Here is a 23611-nt window from a genome sequence, read left to right on the forward strand (position 1 = left end):
TTTAAAAGTCCTTGCTATAAAACTAAGTCACATTCCTTGGGATTAACTTTAGCAGTAAGAAAGATGATATATCATCTTCATCTGCTTTCATCAGCCTAGATTTTAATTTTCTCTCTCAAGTACTGCTGAACTCAGGCAGAAAGAAGAGTGCAGTTTATTGGACTCCAAATCTCATTCAACAGAACAAAGAAGTTGAGGTTGCAAGGAAGAACCTATAATGATGGGTCATGGAATATAACCTAGAAAAGAAGAGAAATAAAAGGTAAGGAGGGTTTGGTGATGGATATGGATAAAGAGGGGTAAATGGATTAAAGGTTACAACAAAAAAGTAAAAGTGCTTCTGAGAGAATGGTAATTTTGAAGGCACATAACGTGGAAGGTTAATATTGGTAGTCAGAATGTGATATTTGCATTTGAAATTTTGGAGATGATGCCATTTTTATTGATGTAAAAATGTAAGGCATATGGATAGCTGAAATAGGGTAGAAGAAAATATCATTGAAAATATGAGGAAGTCAAAAAACCAAGAATCCATGATGTTAGATGAATCATGAGAGTACATGTTGAAGCCACAAAGGACAATAGGAGTAGGGTAGGAATAAAGAAGAAAACTGAGTTGCAAGCTCACTTCCCTGAGAATGAGGAGGAAAGACCCAGAGACTACTAGTAGGCGACAGCAGGATGGAGGCGGAAGAGTAGTAGAACCAGATGGCATGAGCCTCAAAGGAGCAGAGGGGGTTTGCAAGAAGGAAGGAGGAATAACACTCTAAAATTGGCATTGAGGAGTAAGGTTGGTGCTGAAGCACTTTCGGGGAGGAGAGAAAAAAAGTTTGAAAGGGTTTCAGAGAAACCATGTCCCCAAGATATAGCCTGCTTTTAGTTAAGTGAGACTGTGAATAGATCTCCAGAAAAGAGATTGAAAAACCCAGGATTTTAATGAACTCATATTGGGGGCTGGGAATTCCAAAGAGGTAGGGGGGGATGGTTTATTAAGGAGGGGAATTTGGGGATGAGAGAAGTGGGGAGCAAATTAGGTCAGATAAAGGGAAGAAAGTATTTAGGTAATTGATGCCTAGAGAGTAAGTTCTGATAAGGAGTGGAATAAACGGGGATGTGTAGGTGAACCGTCTCCTCAGAGGTGACTGAGCAATAAACTTTACTGCTGTGGTCTAGATCATTTGTCTCTGGGGAGGGGCACCTACTGCCTCAGGAAGCCTGATATGGTCTAATCAAAGTCAGCTGCTTCTTAGACAGCAGGAGTTGTGGTAGTCTCTGCTCTATCACTACACTAGTTTGGTGACTCACCTATTTTTTCTAATCTAGTGAATTTGGTTCTCCTCTCTTCTCTTCTGACTTCTGCCTATTTGTTGTTTCTACTTACTTCGGGCATGGGGAGGGATTATCTTCAGACAAAATAATTCCTCCTTTATAAATGGAATCACTGCAAGGTTTTTTTGAAATATAAAGCAACAAATTCTTTTCGATACACAACTTAATTTGCACCCATAACACATGCACGATACACTGCCAAGACTTGGGTGATGGACTGACCCATGGTGGGGAGGTGGGGAGAGTGTTTGTGAAAGACAGAGATATGGAGAGAGGCATACTATTTTTTACATTGATGGATTTCCTCCCCTAGCATAGGAGAAAAGTAGATGAATGAGTATTTCATGTGTGAGAGCCTAAAGAAAGAGGAAAGAACTGAATACATGTCTGGAAAGAAAGATTTGAGTCTGAGGATGGCAAATAGAACTTCACCCTGAGAGTGCTCCCCAACTCTGTCAGAGGTCTGAATAATGCCAGGCTGGTGGCCAAATACAGAAATGTTGTAATGGAGCACTGTATGAGGAACAGGAACTATACTCTCCTCAACAGAAGGCCAACCCAGCGTTTCAGCCCTAAGACAAGTTGAGTGGCCTCAGCTAGAGAATAGGAACAATACCTTGGTTGACCTTCCAGACTTCTCTTACCAATATAAATACGCAACCACTGTGTGAGGACACCTTCCAGATTCTCAGGTCTTTCTCCACTCCTAAGTAACCACCAGACACCTATGCCATGTGAGGGAGGTAGTTGAAAGAGGAGGGGAGAGTTTCTACACCCATGCTTTGTGGAGAACTATGCATATTAGTAACACCTGGACTGGAGACAGAAGGAATAGTCACTACTGTTGCAAACAAATATTTTCACAATATACCCATATTTTTTGTTTAGATTTTACCAGGCATGCACTTGAATCCCAGCTCCACTATTTACTAACTGTGTGACTTTGGTAATATTACTTAACCTTTAAGCCTTGATTTCTTCATCTACAAAATGTAAATCAGTACCAAATAGGTCTGGTTACTCTAAAGGTTAAATGAGATAATGCATATAGAATATTTAATACTAAACACTTTACGAAGAAGAAGAAATCTATTCTTATCATCAAGGGACATACAATTAATAGGTATGTAGTGATGCATAAAATAGCAAGCTCAGAACAATAAGACACATCAGAAGTGCTCTGCCATTTTTAGGGTTTCATGAGCAATAAATCTGCGAGACCAGGCATGGAGGCTCACATCTGTAATCCTAACACTTTGAGAGGCTGAGGCAGGAGGGTTGCTTGAGCCCAGGAGTTCAAGGCTGTAATGAGTCATGATCATGCCACTGTACCCCAGCCTGGGTGACAGAGTGAGACTCTATTTCAGTCAACTGATTAATAAAAAATAAATAAATGAAATGTTTTGTGCTGTATTTTCCTCATGGAGATTTATACTGCACATTAGTCCATTATATACTCTGAGAATTCCTGCAATAAACAACCTGAATAACTCCATTTATCCCACAGTTTCTCAGCATTGCATATACACAAACTATTAATATCTTACAGAGATAGTCTTCCTCAAAACACCACTTGAATAAATTTCCATTTCTGTCCGAGATGGACTGAGTGTTTATGCCCCACTCCCAGAAGTCATATGTTGAAGCCCTAACCTCCAATGTGATGGTATAGAAAGCAGGGCCTTTGAGAGGTAATCAAGTCATCAGGGTAGAGCCACCATGATGGAACGTAGCTCTCTCCCCTCTCACTCTTCTCACACACAAAGAGGAGGTCATGTGAGCACATAACAAGATGGTGGCACTATAAGGCAAGACTAGAGGTCTCAGAATAAATTTCACCTTGCCAGCACATTCATCTTGGACTTCCCAGCCTCCAGACTGTGAAAAATAAATTTCTGTAGTTTAAGCCACCCTGCTGCTAAATTTTGTTATAGCAGCTTGCACTGATTAAGACAATGGAGTAACCAGAATCAAATTTACCCATTTACCCTTCATCTGAAACAACTCAAAATCTAGACTATACAAAATAATAGTTCTCAAGATATGGGACATCAAGCACTAAGGACAGTGACCCTTACAGTTGCCCTAACTTGCTGCCTGTGGAAAGTTTCCATGATGCAACATAAAAAGGAGGAACCCAGGAGGAACCTGGATTTCTTGCTGAGTTGAAGAGATGGGATTAGGAGTTCCAGGAGGCCAAGACAGGAGTTCACAAGACAGAGTACCAGAGAGGAGAGAGATGCACAGAGAGGGAACTCTAAGGATCTGCAAAAGATCCCCTCAACTTTTCAGCTGGGAGCTTTCCTCAGAACATGCACATGAGGAACCTATCCAAGGCTGAAAAAGAATTACTCAGAAGGATTAAAGGGAGTAATCTCTTGAGCTCACACAGGCCAGGAAGAGTGGCTATTCCTACCAGCATTCATGGGTAGAATACTCAAAAGGGTTTTGCCTCAGGAAGGAATATTAATCCTAAACTAGATGCTGTTCTAGTCCAACCTAGCAAAGCTTAAAAGCAAGGCTCAGGAGGATTAAATGACTGCCAAGTTACTTAACCCCATATCAGCACACCTCAAGACTATAAGAATACAAATATATCCAGCATTCAAACAAAGTAAAATGTACAATACTTGGCATTTGATAAAAAATTACCAGACATGCAAAGAAGCAGGAAAATTAGACTCATGATAGGAACAAAATTAATAAATCAAAAGGGACTGTAAATGACACAGATGATAGAATGTATAAGCAAGAACATTACTTTTTATAACTTTGTCCTATTTGTTAAAGAAGCCAGAGGAAAATTGGCCATGTTAAGTAGAGACATGGAAGATATTAAAAAGCTTCTAGATTTAAAAAATAGTGTCTAAGATGAAAAGGAACTGCTTATTTTAACAGCAGATTAGACAATTTAGAAGAAAAGATTAGTGAATCATGAAAATATTGCAATAGAAACTATCCAAAATGAAATACAGAGATTAAAAACTAAAAATAAAATAATAAAAAGATAGTCAATTATCTGTATGTCACCTTTAAACAACCTAATATACTTGTAATTGAAATCTCCAAAGGAAGCAGGGGAGGATATCTCAAAAAATAATGGCAAAAATATTCTAAATTTGATGAAAATTAAAACTCTCCTGTCCAAGAAGATCAACAAGCCCCAAGCAGAAGAAACATGAAGAAAGTTACAAGAAGACACATGATAATAAATTTAGCTAAAACTAGTTATGAAGAGAAAATCTTAAAAGCAGCCCAAGAAGTCCTGTCCTGTAGAGAGGAACAAGATTAAGGATGACAACATATTACAAGCTAGAAGGCAGTAGACCGATGTCTTTAAAGCACTGGAAGAAAAATGTTGTCAATCTAGAATTCTTTATCCAGTGAAAACATCTTTCAAAAATGAATATGAAATAAAGATTTTTTCTCACACCTACAAGAGCTGAAAGAAATCTTTGCCAGCAGACATGCCTCGAAAGAAATGGTAAATGAAGTCCTTCAAGCAGAAGAAAAATGGCTCTAAAAGGAAATGTGTGTTTACATAAAAGAATGAAGAGCACTAGAAATAATAACCATGTGGGTAAATAGAAAGGCTTTTTCTTATTATTTAAATCTATTTTAAAAATAAACAGTGTAAAGCAATAATAATAAATCATGAGATTTATATAGAAGTACAAGTAAAATGTATGACAATAGCACAACAGCAAGTAGGATTAGAAAATGTAAATATATAGTTTAAGGTTCTTTTTTTTTTTTGAGACAGGGGCTTGCTCTCACACCCAGCCTGGAGTGTAGTGGTGTGAACTCAGCTCACTGCAGCTTCAACCTCCTGAACTCAAGCAATCCGCCCACCTCAGCCTCCCAGGGAGTAGTTGGGACTACAGGTGTCTGCCACTATACCTGGCTAATTTTTGTATTTTTTTTGCAGAGACTGTGTTTCACCATGTTGCCCAGGCTGGTCTCGAACTTCTGAGCTCAAGCAATCCACCCTCCTCAGCCTCCAGAAGTGCTGGGATTACAGGCATGAGACACCAAGTCCAGCCATAAGGTTCTTATTCTATATATACATGAAATGATATCACTTGAAGGTAGACTGTGATAAGTTAAATACGTATATTTTTTAAATCTTCAAACAACCACTAAAATAAAAGAACAAAGAGTTACAACTAATAAAGGAGATAGAATGGAATCATAAAATATGTTTTCAAAAGATGGTGTAAAAGGAATAAAAAGGAAACAAAAAACAGATGGAGAAAAATAGAAAAAAAAAACAACATGGTAGATTAAAACTCAACCATATCAATAATCACATTAAATAAAAAATCTAAATACAAAAATTTCAATTAAAAGGCAGAGATTGTCAGACTGGATTAAAAAAGATGAGACCTACCTATATACTGCCTTCAAGAAACCCATTTTAATATAAAGGCACAATTAGGTTAAAAGTAAAAGGGTGAGAAAAGATCATGCTACCACTAATCAAAAGTAAACTAGAGAGATTTCAAAGCAGCAAGCATTATCATGTTAAAGGTGAATTCATCAAGAAGGCATAGTGCTAAACATTTATGCACATAACAGAGTTTCTAAATATATGGAGCAAAACTGATAGAATTGCAAGGAAAAACAGACAAGTCTACAATTAATCAGATTTCAACAAACTTTATCAATTATTGGTGGAATGAGTAAGTAGAAAAATCTATAGTTCTTATTTCTTCTAGATTTTTCTACCTATTCCACCAATAATTGATAAAGGGGTGTTGAAATCTGACTAATTTTAGATAACAGAAGAACAACATTATTAACCAACTATGTCTAACTGCATTTATAGAACACCCCACCCAACAACAGCAAACTATACATTAATCTCAAGTGCAGACAGAACTTCTATGAGTATAAAATATATTTTGGGCCAAAAAACAGACAGGTCTCAACAATTTTACAAGGATTCAAGCCATATAAAGTATGTGCTGTGATTGCAATGAGTAATATTAGAAATTGATAACAAAAATATCTGGAAAAATCTTGAACTATTGAGGATACTAACAGATTGCTAAATAACCCATAGGTCAAGGAATAAATCAAAAGGGAAGCTTGAAAGTATTTTGAACTGAATGAAAATGGAAATAAAACAACAAAATTTTTGAAATTCAGTCAAAGCAGTATTTACTAGGAAATTTGTACTATAAATACCAATATTATTATAGAAAAGGGGAAGATCTCACATCAGTGATCTTGGTTTCTATTAAAAAACTAAAAGACATACAAATGGTCAACAGACATATGAAAAGACACTCAATATCACTAATCATCAGGGAAATGCAGATTAAAACCACAATGAGATGTCACCTTCTACTTGTCAAGGTGTCTATTATAAAAAAAAAAAAGATTACTGTTCACAACGATGTTGAGAAATTGGAACACTTGTACACTGTTAGTGGGAATGTAAAATGGTGCAGCTGCTTGGAAAACAGTATGGAGGTTCCTCAAAAAGTTAAAATAGAACTACCATACAATCCAGCAATCTCACTTCTGGATATTTATCCAAAAGAATTGAAATCAGGATCTCAAGGAGATTTGAACACATGTTCACTGCAACATTATTCCTAATAGTCAAGATATGGAAACAACCTAAATGAGTGAATAAAGAAAGGTGGTATATACATACAATGGAATATTATTCAGCCTTAAAAAAGAAGAAAATCCTGCCATCTATGACATGAGAAAACCTTGATGACATTATACTATGTGAAATAAGCCAGTCACAGAAAGACAAATACTGCATGATTCCACTTATATATGGTATCTAAATAGTCAAATTCAGAAGCAGAGTGGCTGTTGCCAGGGGATGGGGGAGGGTGAAATGAAGAGTCGTTTTTCAATAGTATAAAGCTTCAGTTATGCAAGATAAATAAGTTCAAGAGATCTGCTTCACAACATTGTGCTATAGTCAACAATACTGTATTATACACTTAAAATTTTGTTCAAAGGGTATGTCTCATGTTAAGTGTTCTTATCACATTTTTCAAACTAGAAAAAAGTGAAAAAATTAAACCCCAAAATAAGTAGAATAAGGAAATAATAAAGATCAGAACAGAAATCAATGAAATAGAAAACAAAAACAGTAGTGTCATTAAAACAAAACTTTGGTTCTTCAATGCAGTCAGTATAATTAGTAAACCTCTATCCAGACTGATTAGGGAAAAAAAGAGAAAAGATAAATATTACCAATATCAGAAATGAGAGAGATAATATAACTGCAGGAAATACTATGGACAACTTCATGCCTGTGAATTTGACATAAGGTAGTTTTAGCCCTCCAACTTTTTTTTTTTTTTTTTTGAGTAATTATGGCTATTGTGGATTCTCTGCATCTCTTTATTAAGGAGTCCGGCTCCTGGCCAAAGTCTACATGTGATTTTTCAGATCCTACTATAGGCAATTACAAAGGCTTTACCTCGCAGGTCTCAAGGGAGGAAGCTGACTACCCCCTCACCAGACTTGGTGCACAGCCAGAGCATTGCAGTCCCTGAAGGGTCTTGCAGTCACAGACTCAGGCCCATCTGGCTGACCATGCTCTTACACATGCCTGCATTCCTCACCTAAGTACCTCCATTTGGAGTCCTCTTTATTTTTTCTGGGTGGGGGGGAGCCATCTTTTTTTTCCTTCAACTTTTAAGTTCAGGGGTACATGTGCAGGATGTGATGTTTGTTACATAGGTAAACGTCTGCCATGGTGGTTTGCTGCACAGATCATCCCATCACCTAGGTTTTAAGCCCAGCATTCATTAGCTGTTCTTCCTGATGCTCTCCCTCCCTCATCCCACACCCCCAACAGACCCCAGTGTGTGTTGCTCCCTGCTGTGTGTCCATGTGTTTTCATTGTTCAGCTCCCACTTATTAGAACATGCGGTGTTTGGTTTTTTGTTCCTTCTTTAGTTTGCTGAGAATAATGGCTTCCAACTCCATTCATGTCCCTTCAAAGGACATGATCTCATTCCTTTTTATGGCTGCATACTTTCCATGGCGTATATGTGCCACATTTTCTTTATCCAGTCTATCATTGATGGACATTTAGTTTCATTCCGTGTCTTTGCTATTGTAAATAGTGCTGCAATGAACATATGCATGAATGTATCTTTATTACAGAAAGATATATATTCCTTTGGGTATATACCCAGTAATGGGATTGCTAGGTCAAATGTTATCTCTGTCTCTGGGTCTTTGAGGAATCACCACACTATCTTCCACAGTGGTTGAACTAATTTACACTGCCATCAACAGTGTAAAAGCATTCCTATTTCTCCACAACCTCACCAGCATCAGTTGCTTTTGACGTTTTAATAGTCACCATTCTGACTGGCATGAGATAGTATCTCATTGTGGTTTTGATTTGCATTTCTCTAATGATCAGTAATATTGAGCTTTATTTCATATGTTTGTTTGCCACATGTATGTCTTCTTTTGAGGAGTATCTGTTCATGTCCTTTGCCCACTTTTTAATGGGTTTGTTTATTTGTTTTCCTGTAAATTTGTTATGTTTCTTGTAGATTCTGGATATTAGACCTTTGTCAGATGGATAGATTGCAAAAATGTTCTCCCAATCTGTAGGATGTCTGTTCACTTTAATAATAGTTTATTTTGCTGTGCAGAAGGCTTTTAGTTTAATTAGATCCTATTTGTCAATTGTTGCTTTTGTTGCAATTGCTTTTGACATTTTTGTCATGAAATCTTTGCCCATGCCTACGTCCTGAATGGTATTGCCTAGATTTTCTTCTAGGGTTTTTATAGTTTTGGGTTTTACATTTAGGTCTTTAATCCATCTTGAGTTAATTTTTATATAGGTATAAGGAAGGAGTTCAGTTTCAATTTTCTGCATATGGCTAGCCAGTTTTCCCAGCACCATTTATTAAATAGGGAATCTTTTCCCCATTCCTCGTTTTTGTCAGGATTGTCAAAGATCAGATGGTTTGTAGGTGTGTGGTCTTATTTCTGAGTTCTCTGTTCTGTTCCATTGGTCTATGTGTCTGTTCTTGTACCAGTACTATGCAGTTTTGGTTACTGTAGTCTTGTAGCATAGTTTGAAGTTGGGTAACGTGTTGCCTGGAGGCCTCTTTATTAGAAGCCTTGCACAGGGGCTTTCTGCAGAGGCCTTCCTCAGGTGCCTCTGCTAAGATCTCCTTATCTAGGTAGAAATAGGGGACACTTGATGCTTTTCTCCGCATTAACCCAATACTCAGTACTTTTTTTCTCCTACCCCTTCCCTTCTCTCACCTCCTGGTCCCCAGGTCCATAATACACCAGGAGCCTTTTGGGGGGCAGGGCTCCTTTGGCATTGAGACCATTCCCCACAGCTGCACTGATCCACCTGATCCTCAACCAGAGCTGTTTTACAGGGAAAATAAAGGGAGGTGGCACATTGCTTATACCATCATAGTACAGCAAGTGACTAAAGGCTTGACTCTTATTTTCATTTTAGTTTTTTGCCTTAATCAGCTATGCTGATTCCTGGCAGATCAGCACTCTCTTAGTTCAGTTTTTGACACGTGATTATAGAAGCAGTTTGTCAATCTCCACAATAAAGTCTAATCCGTTTAATAATACTGAATCTTCCAATCCATGAACATGGTATATCTCTCTATTTAAATCTTTTTCCATTTCACTTAGCAATGTTGTCATGGTATATCTCTGCATTTGTTGTCAGCGTACTGGTCTTGAACATCTCTTGTCAGAATTTTCCCTGGGTTTCATATTTTTGATGCTATTATAAGTGCTGTTGTTTAATTTCAATTTTGGATTGTTATACTATATAGAAATACAATTGATTTTTGTATATTGATCTTATAACCAGAAACCTTGATAAACTTACTTATTAGTTCTAGTAGATTTTTTTGTAGATTATCTAATATTTTCTACATAAACGATAATATTGTCTGCTGATAAAGGCAGTTTTACTGCTTCCTTTCCCATATCAATATCTTTTATTTTTTTCTTGTCTGTTTGCATTGCTAAAAGTTCCAAGAAAACATTGAGTAGACATTGTAAGAGTGATATCCCTCACAAGTTCTTAATCTAAGAAGGAAAGCACTTATTCTGTCTCCATTACATATGAGCAGCAGGCTTCAGCCTTTTGTAAGGTTAAGGAATTTCCTTTCTATTCCAAGTTTGCTGAGAGTTTTTTTATTAGGAACTAAGGTTGAATTTTGTAAAAATGACTTTTCTGTATCCATTGAGAATAACCATATAAGTTTTCTCTTTTCGTATGTTAGTATTGAGAACTGGTAAATTGCATTTTAATAATTTAGGGCAGTACTGCTATGATTTGAAAGCTTGTACCCTCCAAAACTCATGTTGAAATTTAATTGCCAGGCCAGATGCAGTGGCTTACACCTGTAATCCCAGCACTTTGGAAGGCTAAGGCTGGAGAAACACTTGAGCCCAGGAGTTTGAGACCAGCCTGGGCAACATAGTGAGACCCTGTCTCTACAAAACATTTTTAAAAATTAACCAGATATAGTGGCACACGCCTATGGTCCTAGCTACTCAGGAGGCTAAAGTGGGAAGATCACTTGAGTCCAGGAAGTGGAGACTGCAGTGAGCTGTGATTGTGTTACCACACTCCAGCCTGGGCAACAGAGCGAGACTCTGTCTCAAAAGAAAGAAACAAAGAAATTTAATTGCCAATATAATGGTATGGGAGGTGGGGACTTTAAGAGATGATTAGGCTATGAGGGCTCCAGCTTCATGTGTGCCTTACTAAAAGGGCTTTCAGGGTGGCTACTCTTTGCCCTTCCACCATCAGATGACACAGCAAAAAGGTCCTCTCCAAATGCCAACACCTTGATATTGGATTTCCCAGCCTCCAGAACTATAACTTTCTGTTCTTTATAAATTACCCAGTCTCAGGTATCCTGTTATAGCAGAACAACATGGACTAAGACAAATTCATACAGGAAAGCCAGGATTTGCTTGATCCTGACAAATAAAGGGCTTTCCCTTTATTTGTCAGTTTTCAAGGCAATGAGTTGGTATCTTATTATTCTTCAAAGGTGGTCAGTTTTTTTTTAATATCATTGTGAACTTATGTAGTTAAATGTGATATGTTATGGGTTTCATTCCCATGCAGTTTTTATCCTTATTGAGGTTCAAGGTTTCCCATCTTCAGTCAGTGACAGCCACTTCAAGGAGTAAAGTTTTTTTTGTCATGACTCTAGTCATCATTGAAAGCTTACTTGCCATCAGGTATGACAAGATGTTCCAAGTTTATCTTATACACTTTCTACCCAAAACCTGAAATTAGTCAATTCTCAAAGAAGTCATGGTATCTTTTAGTAGTAAACAATATTTTAAGGCCACAATCTGATCGTTAGGTCTAATCATTGCTAGTAGGTTGGTCATTGTTATTAGGCCTTTTCAGGTGCTCAGAGGTAATTTCAAATTCAAATACAGACTTTGTATTTTTACTTAAGCTTTCATATATATATAATTTTTTTCTGCATACTAATAATAGTTTTCAAGAATACAAGAGGTGATGGGATAAAATATCTATAATCATTCATTTGCTTTATCCAACAATTCACATATAATAGTCTTAAGATAACAAAACTCACCCCAACAGAAGAGTTTGTAAATGTCTGTATTATATGTTTTTCCCAATTTTGCACTATGTCTACATTGTCAGAGCATATAGCCAGAGCAGACTATATCCTAGTCCATTTAACCCCTTAGTCTTAGTTCTACAAGTAATTATATTGAATACCCACCATCTGTACTTGTGTCAATGTCATCCTAGTCATTTTGGTTGTCTGAAGCTTGTTTTCTATTTAGATACCTCAAGAAGGGCTCATGGGAGAAAATAATCTCTTAAGTTTATATGTTGATAAGAGCTTGTATGTACTCTTTTTCTTGAAAGTAAGTTTAGTTACATGTAAAATGCTTGGCTCACATTTTCTTTCCTTGTGTATCTTAAATATGTTATTCTGTTTTTCTCTGGCTTAAAATTAGATGGTCATCTAATTTTCTTTCCCTTATAAATCACTTGCAGTTTTTGCCTAGATTTTGTAAGGATTTTTTTCCTTTTCATTAAGCCAAGTAATAACTAATATATATCTTTCTGTTTGTTGTTTTGTGTTCACATTTTGAAGTTCATCGTGTGCTCTTTCAATATGTAATTTCAAATTTTTTTATTTCAAGAACGTTTTGTTGAATTATAGCTTGTAGAACTATAGTTGCAGAATTTATTTTATTTCCTTGTTTTGGTGTTATTCTACAGGAAACGCTGGGACAGGCCACTTTATATCTTTACATAGCTCTATTAGGCATCTCTCTCTCTTCTTTTTTTTTTTTTTTTTTTACGGAGTTTCACTCTTGTTGCCCAGGATGGAGTGCAATGGTGCAATCTTGGCTCACTGCAACCTCTGCCTCCTGGGTTCAAGCGATTCTCCTGTCTCAGCCTCCTGAGTAGCTGGGATTACAGGTGCCCGCCACCATGCCCCACTAATGTTTGTATTTTTAGTGGAGATGGGGTTTCATCATATTGGTCAGGTTGGTCTCGAACTCCTGACCTGAGGTGATCTGCCCACCTTGGCCTCCCAAAGTGCTGAGGTTACAGGCGTGAGCCACCGCACTCTGCCTGTTTGTTTGGTTTTGTTTGTTTAGACAGAGTCTCTCTCTGTCCCTCAGGCTGGAGTGCAGTGGCATAATCTTGGCTCACTGTAACCTCCGCCTCCTGGATTCAAGCGATTCTTATGCTTCAGCCTCCAGAGTAGCTGGGATTGCTGGGATTACAGGCGTGTACCACCACAACTGGCTAATTTTTGTACTTTTTAATAGAGACAGGGTTTTGCAGTGTTGGCCAGGCTGGTCTCTAACTCCTGGCGTCAAGTGATCCACCAGGCTCGGCCTCCCAAAGTGCTGGGATTACAGGTCTGAACCAATGCTCTTGGCCTCTTACCCCCATTTTTAAATTGAGGACACTGATAATCAGAAAGATTTTTTGTCTGGACATGGTGGCTCATGCCTGTAATCCCAGAACTTTGGAAGGCCAAGGTGTGAGGATTGTTGGAGCCCAGGAGTTCAAGACTAGCCTGGGAAACATAATAAGACGCTGTCTCTATAAAAAATTAACAGGGCGTGGCGGTACATGCCAGTGGTCCAAGCTACTGAGGAGGCTGAGGTGGGGGGATTGCTTGAACCCATGAGGCTGAGGATGCAGTTGCGTCTCAACCTGGGCAACAGAGCAGGGCCCTGTAAGAAAAAAAGAAGGGGAGGGGAAGGGAGGGGAGGGAGACATGGTGGGGTGTGGAGGGAGAGAGAGAGAAGGAAAGGAAAGAGGCCGGACACAGTGGCTCATGCCTGTAATCCCAGCACTTTGGGAGGCCGAGGTGGATGGATCACAAGGTCAGGAGTTTGAGACCATCCTGGCTAACACAGTGAAACCCCGTCTCTACTAAAAAATAGAAAAAATTAGCCAGGCATGGTGGCGGGAGCCTGTAGTCCCAGCTACTCGGGAGGCTGAGGCAGGAGAATGGCGTGAATCTGGGAGGCAGAGCTTGCAGTGAGCCAAGATCGTGCCACTGCACTCCAGCCTGGACAACAGAGTGAGACTCCATCTCAAAAAAAAGAAAGAAAGGAAAGAGAAGGGGAGGGAAGGGGGAAGGGAAGGGGGAAGGGAAGAAGGAAAGGAAAAAGGAAAGGAAAGATTATATAATTTATTCAAGATTCCACAGGTGGTAGGGGAAGAACCAGAACCGAGGTCTGCTCAACTATGAATCTTTAGGTCTTTTTTCCATATTACCCTGCCGCCTGGGTCCTTTCTGAGTTTATTTCACTGCTTTTCCTTCAGATGGTCACTCTCATATGCCTTACAGTCTTGCTTCTCAAAATCTAGCCCTTGGACCAGCATCATTGGCATTACCAGAAACCCCATTAGAACTGAAGAATCTCAGTTGCTCCAGTCCTACTGAATGAGATTCTGAATTTTTATAAGATCTCCAGGTTATTTCAATCTCCATTACAATTTAAGAAACACTGGTCTAGAGAAAAATCTAAAGGTATTTTAGGCTATAATTCTCAAATTTTATGGCATACTGATATCCCTTGGAATAATTTTTAATTCCTGATACCCAAGCCACAACCCCTATCAATTAAATCAAATCCGAATCTCTGGGGATGGAGCATAGCATATGTTAAAACTCCCCAAGTGATCCAAAGTATAGCCATGTTTGGGAGCTAGGTCTTAAAACAGTACGGTTAGTCCTTCATGTTCCTAAGAATACTGGGAGCTTCTCATCTTCACATGCTGATTCAGTAGATCTAGTTTGGGGCCTGAGATTCTTCATTTCTAACAAGTTCTCGAATGGTAGTTTCTGCTGCTCCTAAAAGTTTCTGGAGTTAAATGAAACTACCGGAAGCCTCCTTCAACAATGTCAATAAATACAAATAGCATCTAATCAAGGAAAGCTTCTCTAAGGCACAGTCCTGGCCTTCTAACTCCACCTGAGAGCAAAAAAGGAACTCCGGGAGAAGGGGTGGAGGTGCTGCAGGCTCTTACAAGGCTCCCCAGGTTACTTCACACCTGGTGCTGGGCAGACCCACCTAGGTGTGCCAGACAGTTGGGATCAGGCTGCTGCTTGCAGCCCCAAGGCAAGAGTTCTTGCAAACACATACTTTTTTCTCATTGCCTGTGCCTTCACCATCTGTCTACCTTTCTTTCCCCGGGTCCTTCTCTTTCTTTTCCCTGGGTTCCTGTCTCCAGGCTTCCCAGCAGCAACTGGGGCACTTGCTTGGTCTGCTGTGTGCTTACTTGGGTTTTGGACTAAGTCAAAACTGCAAAATCTCAGGCCATAACACAGAGGAGCTTAAGCCAGCAGAATAAGAAGGGCCCTGGGGATAAGTGCCTAAGAGATATGGCATGATGGAACTTGATTTGTTTTTCATCACAGATCCATTCATGACACACAATATGTGGTCTGATAGCTTGGCAGGACTGAACATGAACTATTCTCACTCCAGCTTATAATTTACATATTTTTCCCTTGGCAAGACCCAAGCAACTGTCATCAGCAGGTTGTGTGGGACTTGTCGAGTGTGGTGGCAGGTCCACACTGGGTTTGGCTGTATCCCAAAGTTTTGACTCATCCCCTGGCCTGTGGCAGAGTGGGAAATCTTGCTGGTGTAGCTAGGTAAGGGCTTCCCTCTGGACATGCCAGGGCTAAGGAATCCTCAACAGCCTTAGCTGGCCATTTCTGAGATGGCGAAACACTTACCCAGAATTCCACTGGGCCAAAAGTTAACCTCTACAGAAGAGCAAACTAATTCACTTTGTCTAGCTTTGACAGGAAAGAACAGAAAGAGAAGGGAAAAACTGAGACCTTAGGATATTCAACATAAAGGCAGCCAAGTAGAGGATTCTTAAAATCTGTTTCTAAATTAGGATCGTCCCACATTTATTTGGGGCTTATTCAATGACATTTTCCTAAGCACTAGTTAACAAGGCATCTTACCACATGCCAGATAAAACTGGTCGTCAGAACATAACCTTTTTACCCTGCGGAATAACACTTTTCACCCAGATTCTTGAGACTCTTTAATTTCCTTACAGTTTCCAACCATTTAGGGAAAGCTACTCTGGGAACTGAAAGAGGCAATGTGGCTCAGAGATTGAGCAGGTTTCTCCTCCCTACTAACAGCATCAGATGATAATTAATCCTCATTGCTTCCCAAAGGACAGCCAAGGAAAAACTTCATTTCCCAGATGAGGTGGCTCAACAAACTGCCCAAGACCAGTGTCCCAGCTAGCAAGTAGCCAGCTACCCACAGTGCAATCTGTTTCAGCCCTTGCGACAGGCTTCTGGTCTCCTGCAACTGGTCTGAGTAGACTTAAGTTCCTGTCTTCACTTGCCCCAGCCTTGTAACACCTCCCTTGAGAGTACTATTTCTATGTAGGCTTTTTAGGGCTGAAATGAGAGAAGACATTTCCTGGCCCTGAAGTGAGTCATTGGCCTAGTAAAACTTCACCTAAGGGGTAGCTGACTAGCCAATTGAGGACAATGGAGGAAGCCTGGCACCTCTGGAGGGAAGTTCCTGATGTGTGGAGATTTGCCATCTATGAGATGGCAAGGCTCAGTGGCTACACAGGCCCTCCGGCAGCCTTAAGCATCAAATAAATTACATAAATACTTAGGGCCTCTAGGATCCAGGTCTTGAACTATGTGCCTTGGAAAGTCCAGAGTTGAGGTTCTTGCTCTCACTTACTATTTTCAGTGTGGTCCCTGGGAAGCAGCATCAGCATCACCTGGGAACCTGTTAGAAATAATTGTCAGACACCATCCCAGACCTACTGAAGCAGAATCTCTGGTGCTGGGATACAGAATTCTGTGTCTCACCAGCTCTCTAGGTGATTCTGGTGCAAGTCCAAGTTTGAGGGCCATTGCTTTTATCAAACCATTATTTGTTGAGCCCCTTTAAATCAGGTTGAATTGGGGTTCTCTAGAGGTAAGGGGGGCTGGGTAACAAAGTGAGGCTCTCAAGTCAGGTTACCTGGTTCTCTGCAACTTCCTAGTGATGTGACCTTGGATGTCAGTTCTCTCACCTCTAAGACGGGGGAAATAAAACCTCTTCCACTGGGAGGTCGTGTGTGTCTGGCCTATGTAGTTTCTCTCTTTTCGCCACCCCAATCTATCTAAAAGGAAATTTACAGAACAGGACCTACTGTTCCTAGGGTAAAAATCTGCAAGATTGGCCACATGCAGGATGCTGATGTTAATACCTTTTTAATTAACATTTTAAGTGGTTCTAGGTTTAAATGAGTTTGGTTCAGCCTTTAAGTCCTGAGGATAATGGTATTTTTAGCAGAAATATGTTTTCCCATGCTGACTTACATCCAAATAGTTTCAAAGATTAGATTACAACTTTACTAAAAAGTGAAACTTAACTTCTACTTAGGTTTCCTTTGTTTTCTTTTTAAGAGAGAGGAAGAATAGATCATCAAGGTTGATTTTTTTTTTTTTGTATTTGTAATTCAGGATTAGGCAAATGTTTAAAAACTAATAAAAATGATTTGAGCATTTTAATTATTTTCTCTTAAGGCAGAACATTTTTTACTCACTTCCATGTTACATTGATATCTGCTTATAAAAAAAATATACCTTTATAGCAGAAATTTTAGAAAATACAGAGAAACATGAAGAGGAAAGCAAGCACACATATCCTACTGCCCAGATAATCACTGTGAATGTTTTGGTGTATTTCTTTGTGGCTTTTCTTCCTGCTCACATATGTAATGGTTGATATGTATCTATATTTAAGATGTTTTAATGAAATCACACTCTACTGTTTTTATCACCCCGCAGAGGCAGGATGGACTCCCCCCAACCCAAAATTTGGTTCAGATGTCAAAACTGATGATGTCACACATACATCTTAAGAGGGTATGGAAAGGTTTCTTGCATAATGAGGCTTTCTAGAAAGAGCAGAGTAGGATTCCAAGGAAGTCCATAAATGGCTTGAGAAAGCAGGGAAAGGAGACTAGCTTGGGGTTTTTATCGCAGTTAGAGTGTGGGGCTGAGTGGAGGGCTCCTGCACACAGACTGAACACTGCATGGTTTGAACTTCTCACTGGTGCACTGGGGTTTTCTTATCAGCTTGTCCAGATGTGGAACCAAATGGAAAGGGCAGTCACGGGGCTTGAAAGTTGTCAGCAGCCAAACGTCAAAACTGGAATTAGACTCTTAATTATATGTAGTTTTGCATCTTTCTCTTAAATTTAGCATTGTACTTTCTGTGCTTGAGAGACAAAGCTTAAACCAAAAGCTTTACTGTCAAACTAGATTGCTTTTGACATTGGCATCTTGTGGCTATGCCAGTGTTTCTAGTGACTAATCATTTATTTATTCATATTCTAGAAGAAAAGGATGTATGGATTAAAAACATTGACTTTTTTTTTAATAAAACAAACAAAAGAGTGTGGAATAAGAAAACAGAGCATACTATATATCCCAAAAGCAATATATCCAAAAGTTTTCCTTGAGAAAAAAAAAAACCAGCTTGCTCAGGAAAGAGAATACAGATTGTTTTCTCTTTGTAAGTATATTTGAATTTTTTATGATCAAACATGACTCTCAATTTACTGCAAAATACGACTGCAGAATGTGTGAGTCATGTATCTAATCTGCTTTGAAATATTGTTCCTAAAGAACATAGGTACTTATAATCCTGTACAATCCACAGTTGGAGTCCACACCTTGTGACAACAAAAGACAACTCAAATCAGCTTCAAGCATGGATCATAACTAACCGCGGGGCTATTTTTTCCATCTGTAATAAAGAATGTTCCAACATCTTTAATAATCGAAGATAATCCTCTGTCGTCATCTTGAGCATCTAGGTTATAAAAATACATACAGTGCTTTGAAGAAAGGTTCTGGTCCACTGGTGTCACGTGAAGGTCAGATTATGGAAAACTGGCATTGTTACAACAAGAAATGAAGGCTGCTCATGTTTTCTCTGGGTATTTGGAATAAAGTATCTCATAGTTTCCAACTTGAAGATTTAATTAAAGGCATAAGGAGTGATTAATTCTAAATGCTCATCACTGACAATGACTTGCCATATGTTAGAGAAACACCTATTGAAATGAATGAGGGAAAAATGTTTGGTTTCAGATTGAAGGTCTCCTGAAAAACGTTTTGAGTGTTCAAACATTTTGAACAGAATAATCAGAACAATTTGGAATGTCTTATTCCAAGATAAAAAGCACATTTTTTAAAAAAAAGATATTTGGTAGAAATATTAGCCAATCCTATTTATCCACTTTTATGCAAAAGAACTTGTCATCTCTGAGAAATAAAGGGGGTATGCTTTTTGAACTGAAGTGTAAAGATTGGCAATACAGTGTCAAAATAATAGCTAGATGGGGGAGATATAAGACAGGAGGATGCGGGTGGGGATGAATCAGTTGAGAAGAAATGCTCTTCATGGTTTTGCATTTGGAGAAACATGTGCTGCTCATAATTCCCCTACAATGCCTGGCAACCATGCATCTTAGGCCACCATGCATCTTAGGCCACCATGCATCTTAGGCCACCAAATTATGAGGAGCATCCAAGTATGTTCTCTAAATTCAAAACATTGGGAATGGTCCAGAGGTGCCTCTGGTGGTTGCCATCTCCAGAACTCCCCCTTCAAGTTTCTTTGTTGGTCACCAGGGAACCAGGTCAGAGTTGAACTTATCCTCCATCCTCCTGGAAGCCCTGTGTACTAATCTTGTTGAGATTTTTGGCCACTCAATGGCTTTGGCTTCAAATTGCCTTTCCAGTTTTTCACCCTCAATAAAAACTTCTTCATCCTTCCCAGGCATACAAAACAACCTGAATGAACTTGTTCACACTAAGGTAGGGGTAGAGAAACTGTGCAGGCTAAGACAAAGGCTATGGTGACTGACAGCATTAGAGCAAGGGTTACCCAGAATCCCAGGAGATACCCCTGGGCTTCTTCCAATTGAGTCTCCTAGTAAAGAATCTTGGAGACTGGGTCTTTACTACCATCTCTTTGTTCCATAAGTCCAGTATTGAGAAGGCAGTGAGAGATTAAAAATTATTGTGTCAGCCTCTTATCTCTCAGGCCAATAGCCATCTTGTGACTACCCAAGGCACTTGGCAGGAGCCCTGGAGCCCAACCTCAGATCTTAGGCTATGGCTAGCCTCATCCTCACCTTGCTTCTTCAGGCTACCAGTGTATGCTGGGCTGGTGAAACACTGGGCAATCCACCCAATTGCCCATCAGAAACCTTTGTTATGGACATTCCCAAATCTTCTCACAGTTTCTTCTCACTGTTGACATACCAAAGAGACATTTCCAAGACTGTCTACTTCTGCTTTCCTCCGCCTACAAAGCTCCTAAGGCCTCCAGTGACAACATGCTTGAGTATCCTTATATCTCTTGGAGAGCAGGTTCATGTTCTGATACTAAGCACTTTCTGAATTTATGAGAAGAAAAGTAGTTCTCTGCCTTGGGGAGCATTGGCTAATAATTTTTAGATAATTAAAAACTGCCATGATATACATTCATACTAAATCCCAGCTTATGTTACTCTCCAGTATCAAAGGGTGAATGTTGACCATGAAAATAATGGTAACAATAACCACAATTTATTATTGCTTATTATTGGTGCCACACGCCATGCTAAGCATTGGGCCTAGGTCCTCCCTAGTTCTCCCAATATCCACCAAAAGAAACTGCTTCACATGAGTTAAAACTGAGGCTCAGAGTGGTGCAGGGACTGGCCCAAAATCACATAGCCATTTGAAATGTTAGAAGCCATTTCAGATCTAGGTCTTTTTATCTCCCTACCCACTCTAGCTATTATTTTGACATGGCATTGGTAGTTTTTACAATCCAATTCAAAAGTGTCTCTAGGATGACAAATTCAATAAAGGGAAAAAGTAGGGATAGCCTAACATTTCTCCCAAATAGTTGCTTCTTTTTCTTTTTAAAATTAAACTTTTAAAAAATTAAATAAAAGTAAGATAGACCTTGCTGAAATATGCAAAGGACTTCAGAGAACAAAATGGCACCCAAGAACTGTAAGAGCACAGCGTTGTTTTGGCAGGATGAAGTCCAACAATGTACATAGAAAAGATAACCATGTCAATAGTTAGCAGTGACACAAGTTAACTATTACTACAATGACAATGATGACGATGATGATGACATAGTTATTCCTCTCAAGAAGTTCTCTGTCTAGTGGAGGAAGTATTCAGGTAAACAAAAGATCATAGTACAGTGTGGCAAAAATAATGCACAAAGTGTGAGCAGGACTAGAAAAAGAACTCAATCTGGATGGGCAGGTGTTTGGGTGGGGACCACGGCATTGCATGCACACACAGACGTACACTGTGTGTGTGTGTGTAGAGATGACTGTAAATACAACTGCTTGTCTGTTCATATATGTGAACAGGAACAGATTCAGTTTCAGACAACTGCTGCTTTTATCATTCCTTTTCTTTGTGCCACATAGCACTGGGGTCTTTAGGAACTTTTTAGAAATACCACTTTGGCTGCTATTGAAGAGTATTTTGGATTTGTATTCCACTCACCAGAGGCTTCCATTGTAATACACAGGGGTAGGCAGGCAGAATGGAAAGAAAAAGAATAATGGTTTCTTAGGAAACTGAACACTACATTTCCTGTGATTACAATCTCAAGGCTAAAGCTCCATGCTCATTACAGGATTTTCTTGACAGCAGTGTGTCCCTGTCAAAAGGTTTTGAAAGAGTTTGAAATTAGGGTTTCTTTGGGTTCCAGGAGGCACTGGCTCAGGACTTTGGCAAAAGACCCTTCATCTGCTGACATTTCTTGAATGGCCTCGTTTAAGCCTAGCCACCTTGCCTCTTGCTCCTGGGACGTGGCTGCCCATAAAAGCAGGGTGAGTGCTCAGTCATTAGCCAGTTGTCAGTGAGTATTCAATGTCGCCAAAGTGCTGGGCTAGGCTTTGTGAGGGACACCAGATCCCAGTTCTTAGAGCTTCCAGTCTAGTTAAAGAAGTAGTACCAGCCGGGCACGGTGGCTCACACCTGTAATCCCGGCCCTTTGGAAGGCCGAGGCAGGTGGATCACGAGGTCAGGAGATCGAGACCATCCTGGCCAACACGGTGAAACCCCATCTCTACTAAAAATACAAAAAATTAGCCAGGCATGGTGGCCAGTGCCTGTAGTCCCAGCTACTCGAGAGGCTGAGGCAGTGCCTAAACTAGAAAAGGAGAAGTATTTCACTGGGCCAACATCGGGGGGTGGTGCTGCAAACACAGTGTCACAGGACTTTGAAGGTGGGAGAGAGCTGTCTTGCTGCATGTAGGTTTTTGGGGATGGGCAAGTAAATGGATAGATAGCCAGTTGAAAGGATGGTAGCATGAACAGGTGGGTGGATAGGTGGGTGGGTGGGTGGGTGGATGCCTGGATGGATGGATGGATGGATGGATGGATGGATGGATGGATGGGTGGGTGGAAGGATGGAAGGATGGCAGCCAGATGGGGCCGAATGGCCGGTTGATGAATGGGTGGGTGGGTGCATGAGTGCAGCAGCATTACACAGTATCTTTGAAGTCAATTAGACAAGAGTTGCTCTTCTGCCATTTACTAGCTACATGACCTCAGGAGATTTAATTAACCCTTTCAAACACAATCGCCTCACTTATAAAATAGGAGTGATAATACTTGCCTTGCAAGCTTGTTGAGAAAATTGAATGTGACAAGGCTTGTGAAGCACCTGGCATGTGGTAGACACATAATAAAGAGGAACTAGTTTTTTTTTTTTTTTTTTTGAGATGGAATCTTACTCTGTAGCCCAAGCTGGTGTGCAGTGGTGCAATCTTGGCTCACTGCAACCCCTGCATACTGAGCTCAAGCATTCTCATGCCTCAGCTTCCCAAGTAGCTGGGACTACAGGCACGTGCCTCCAAATCTGGCTAATTTTTTGTATTTTAATAGAGACGGGGTTTCACCATGTTGCCCAGGGTGGTCTCAAACTCCTGAGCTCGGGCAATCCACCCACCTCAGCCTCCCAAAATGCTGGGATTACAGGCGTGAGCCACAGCGCCTGTCTAAAACTAGGTTTATTAATATGAATAATGATCTAGAAAAGTTTCCAGGTGGACATGGGATTACAGCCAGGCCTGAAGAAAGGACCGGATGGAGATGGATGGAAAAGAGGAAAAGGGCGGTCTCTGACGAAAGGGCAGCACTATGAGAGTGTGTGCCTGGAAAAGCTAGAGTTGCATCTGGTGTCACTGAGGGGGCTCCCAGAGCCACAAGTTTGTGGGGCTGGAAAGGCAGATTGAAGCCTGAGTGTAGAGGACTTGACATGCTTTTCATGTCAAGTCACGAGATTTGGCTTTTCCCTGGAGATTCATGGAGGTTACTGAAGGTTCAGAAGGAAGTAGGAACGTTCCCTCTGGACCCCCTTTCCTCTAAGCCTGACCTTGACAACATCCGGACTTCCTTTGAACTTGGAAGCTCCTGGCTTCTTACAGTATTTATAGTTCCCCTTACCTTTTACAAGAAGCTGTGGACTTCCTGTGCCCAGGACAGCTGCAGGACTCTGGCAGCCAGCACTCTCCTCCCTCCCCAGGGAGCAGCTGAAAGACTGCTGCCTACAGAAACTCTCGGCTGACAGTTAAGAAGCAAGTGATTTTTAAAGATTAGATGATACAAAGGGAAGCAAGTCCCCTTAAACCTCCTTTGTCAAATAAATGCTACCTGTGAATCAGAGGAGCGATCTGCTGTGACTC

At 40.0% G+C, this 23611-nt stretch overlaps 1 protein-coding gene across 5 annotated transcripts in view, besides 1 other annotated feature; it reads left to right on the top strand.

The window, feature by feature from the left end:
* Positions 1-23611, top strand: part of TBC1D19 (TBC1 domain family member 19) — a 282243-nt gene that overhangs the window by 187799 nt on the left and 70833 nt on the right. For 3 of the 5 annotated variants that reach the window (XR_007057937.1, XR_001741277.2, XR_007057936.1), the window contains one exon: positions 121-262. Coding sequence is in view for 1 of the 5 variants with exons in the window: in XM_047415903.1 (XP_047271859.1) it covers positions 121-196 (76 nt within the window). In the remaining 4 variants the exon portion in view is untranslated. Of the gene's footprint in view, positions 1-120; positions 18881-23611 lie in introns of those variants that run through there. The other 2 variants (XR_925333.3, XM_047415903.1) reach the window with 2 other exon arrangements.
* Positions 23372-23491: an enhancer, noted in NCBI's record as "active region_21399". NCBI's record gives its function as "activates an Ori minimal core promoter by ATAC-STARR-seq in GM12878 lymphoblastoid cells {active_cell/tissue: GM12878}" and the evidence as "EXISTENCE:reporter gene assay evidence [ECO:0000049][PMID:35858748]".

The sequence above is a fragment of the Homo sapiens genome, chromosome 4, assembly GCF_000001405.40.
Source record: "Homo sapiens chromosome 4, GRCh38.p14 Primary Assembly".
Lineage (NCBI taxonomy): Eukaryota > Metazoa > Chordata > Mammalia > Primates > Hominidae > Homo > Homo sapiens.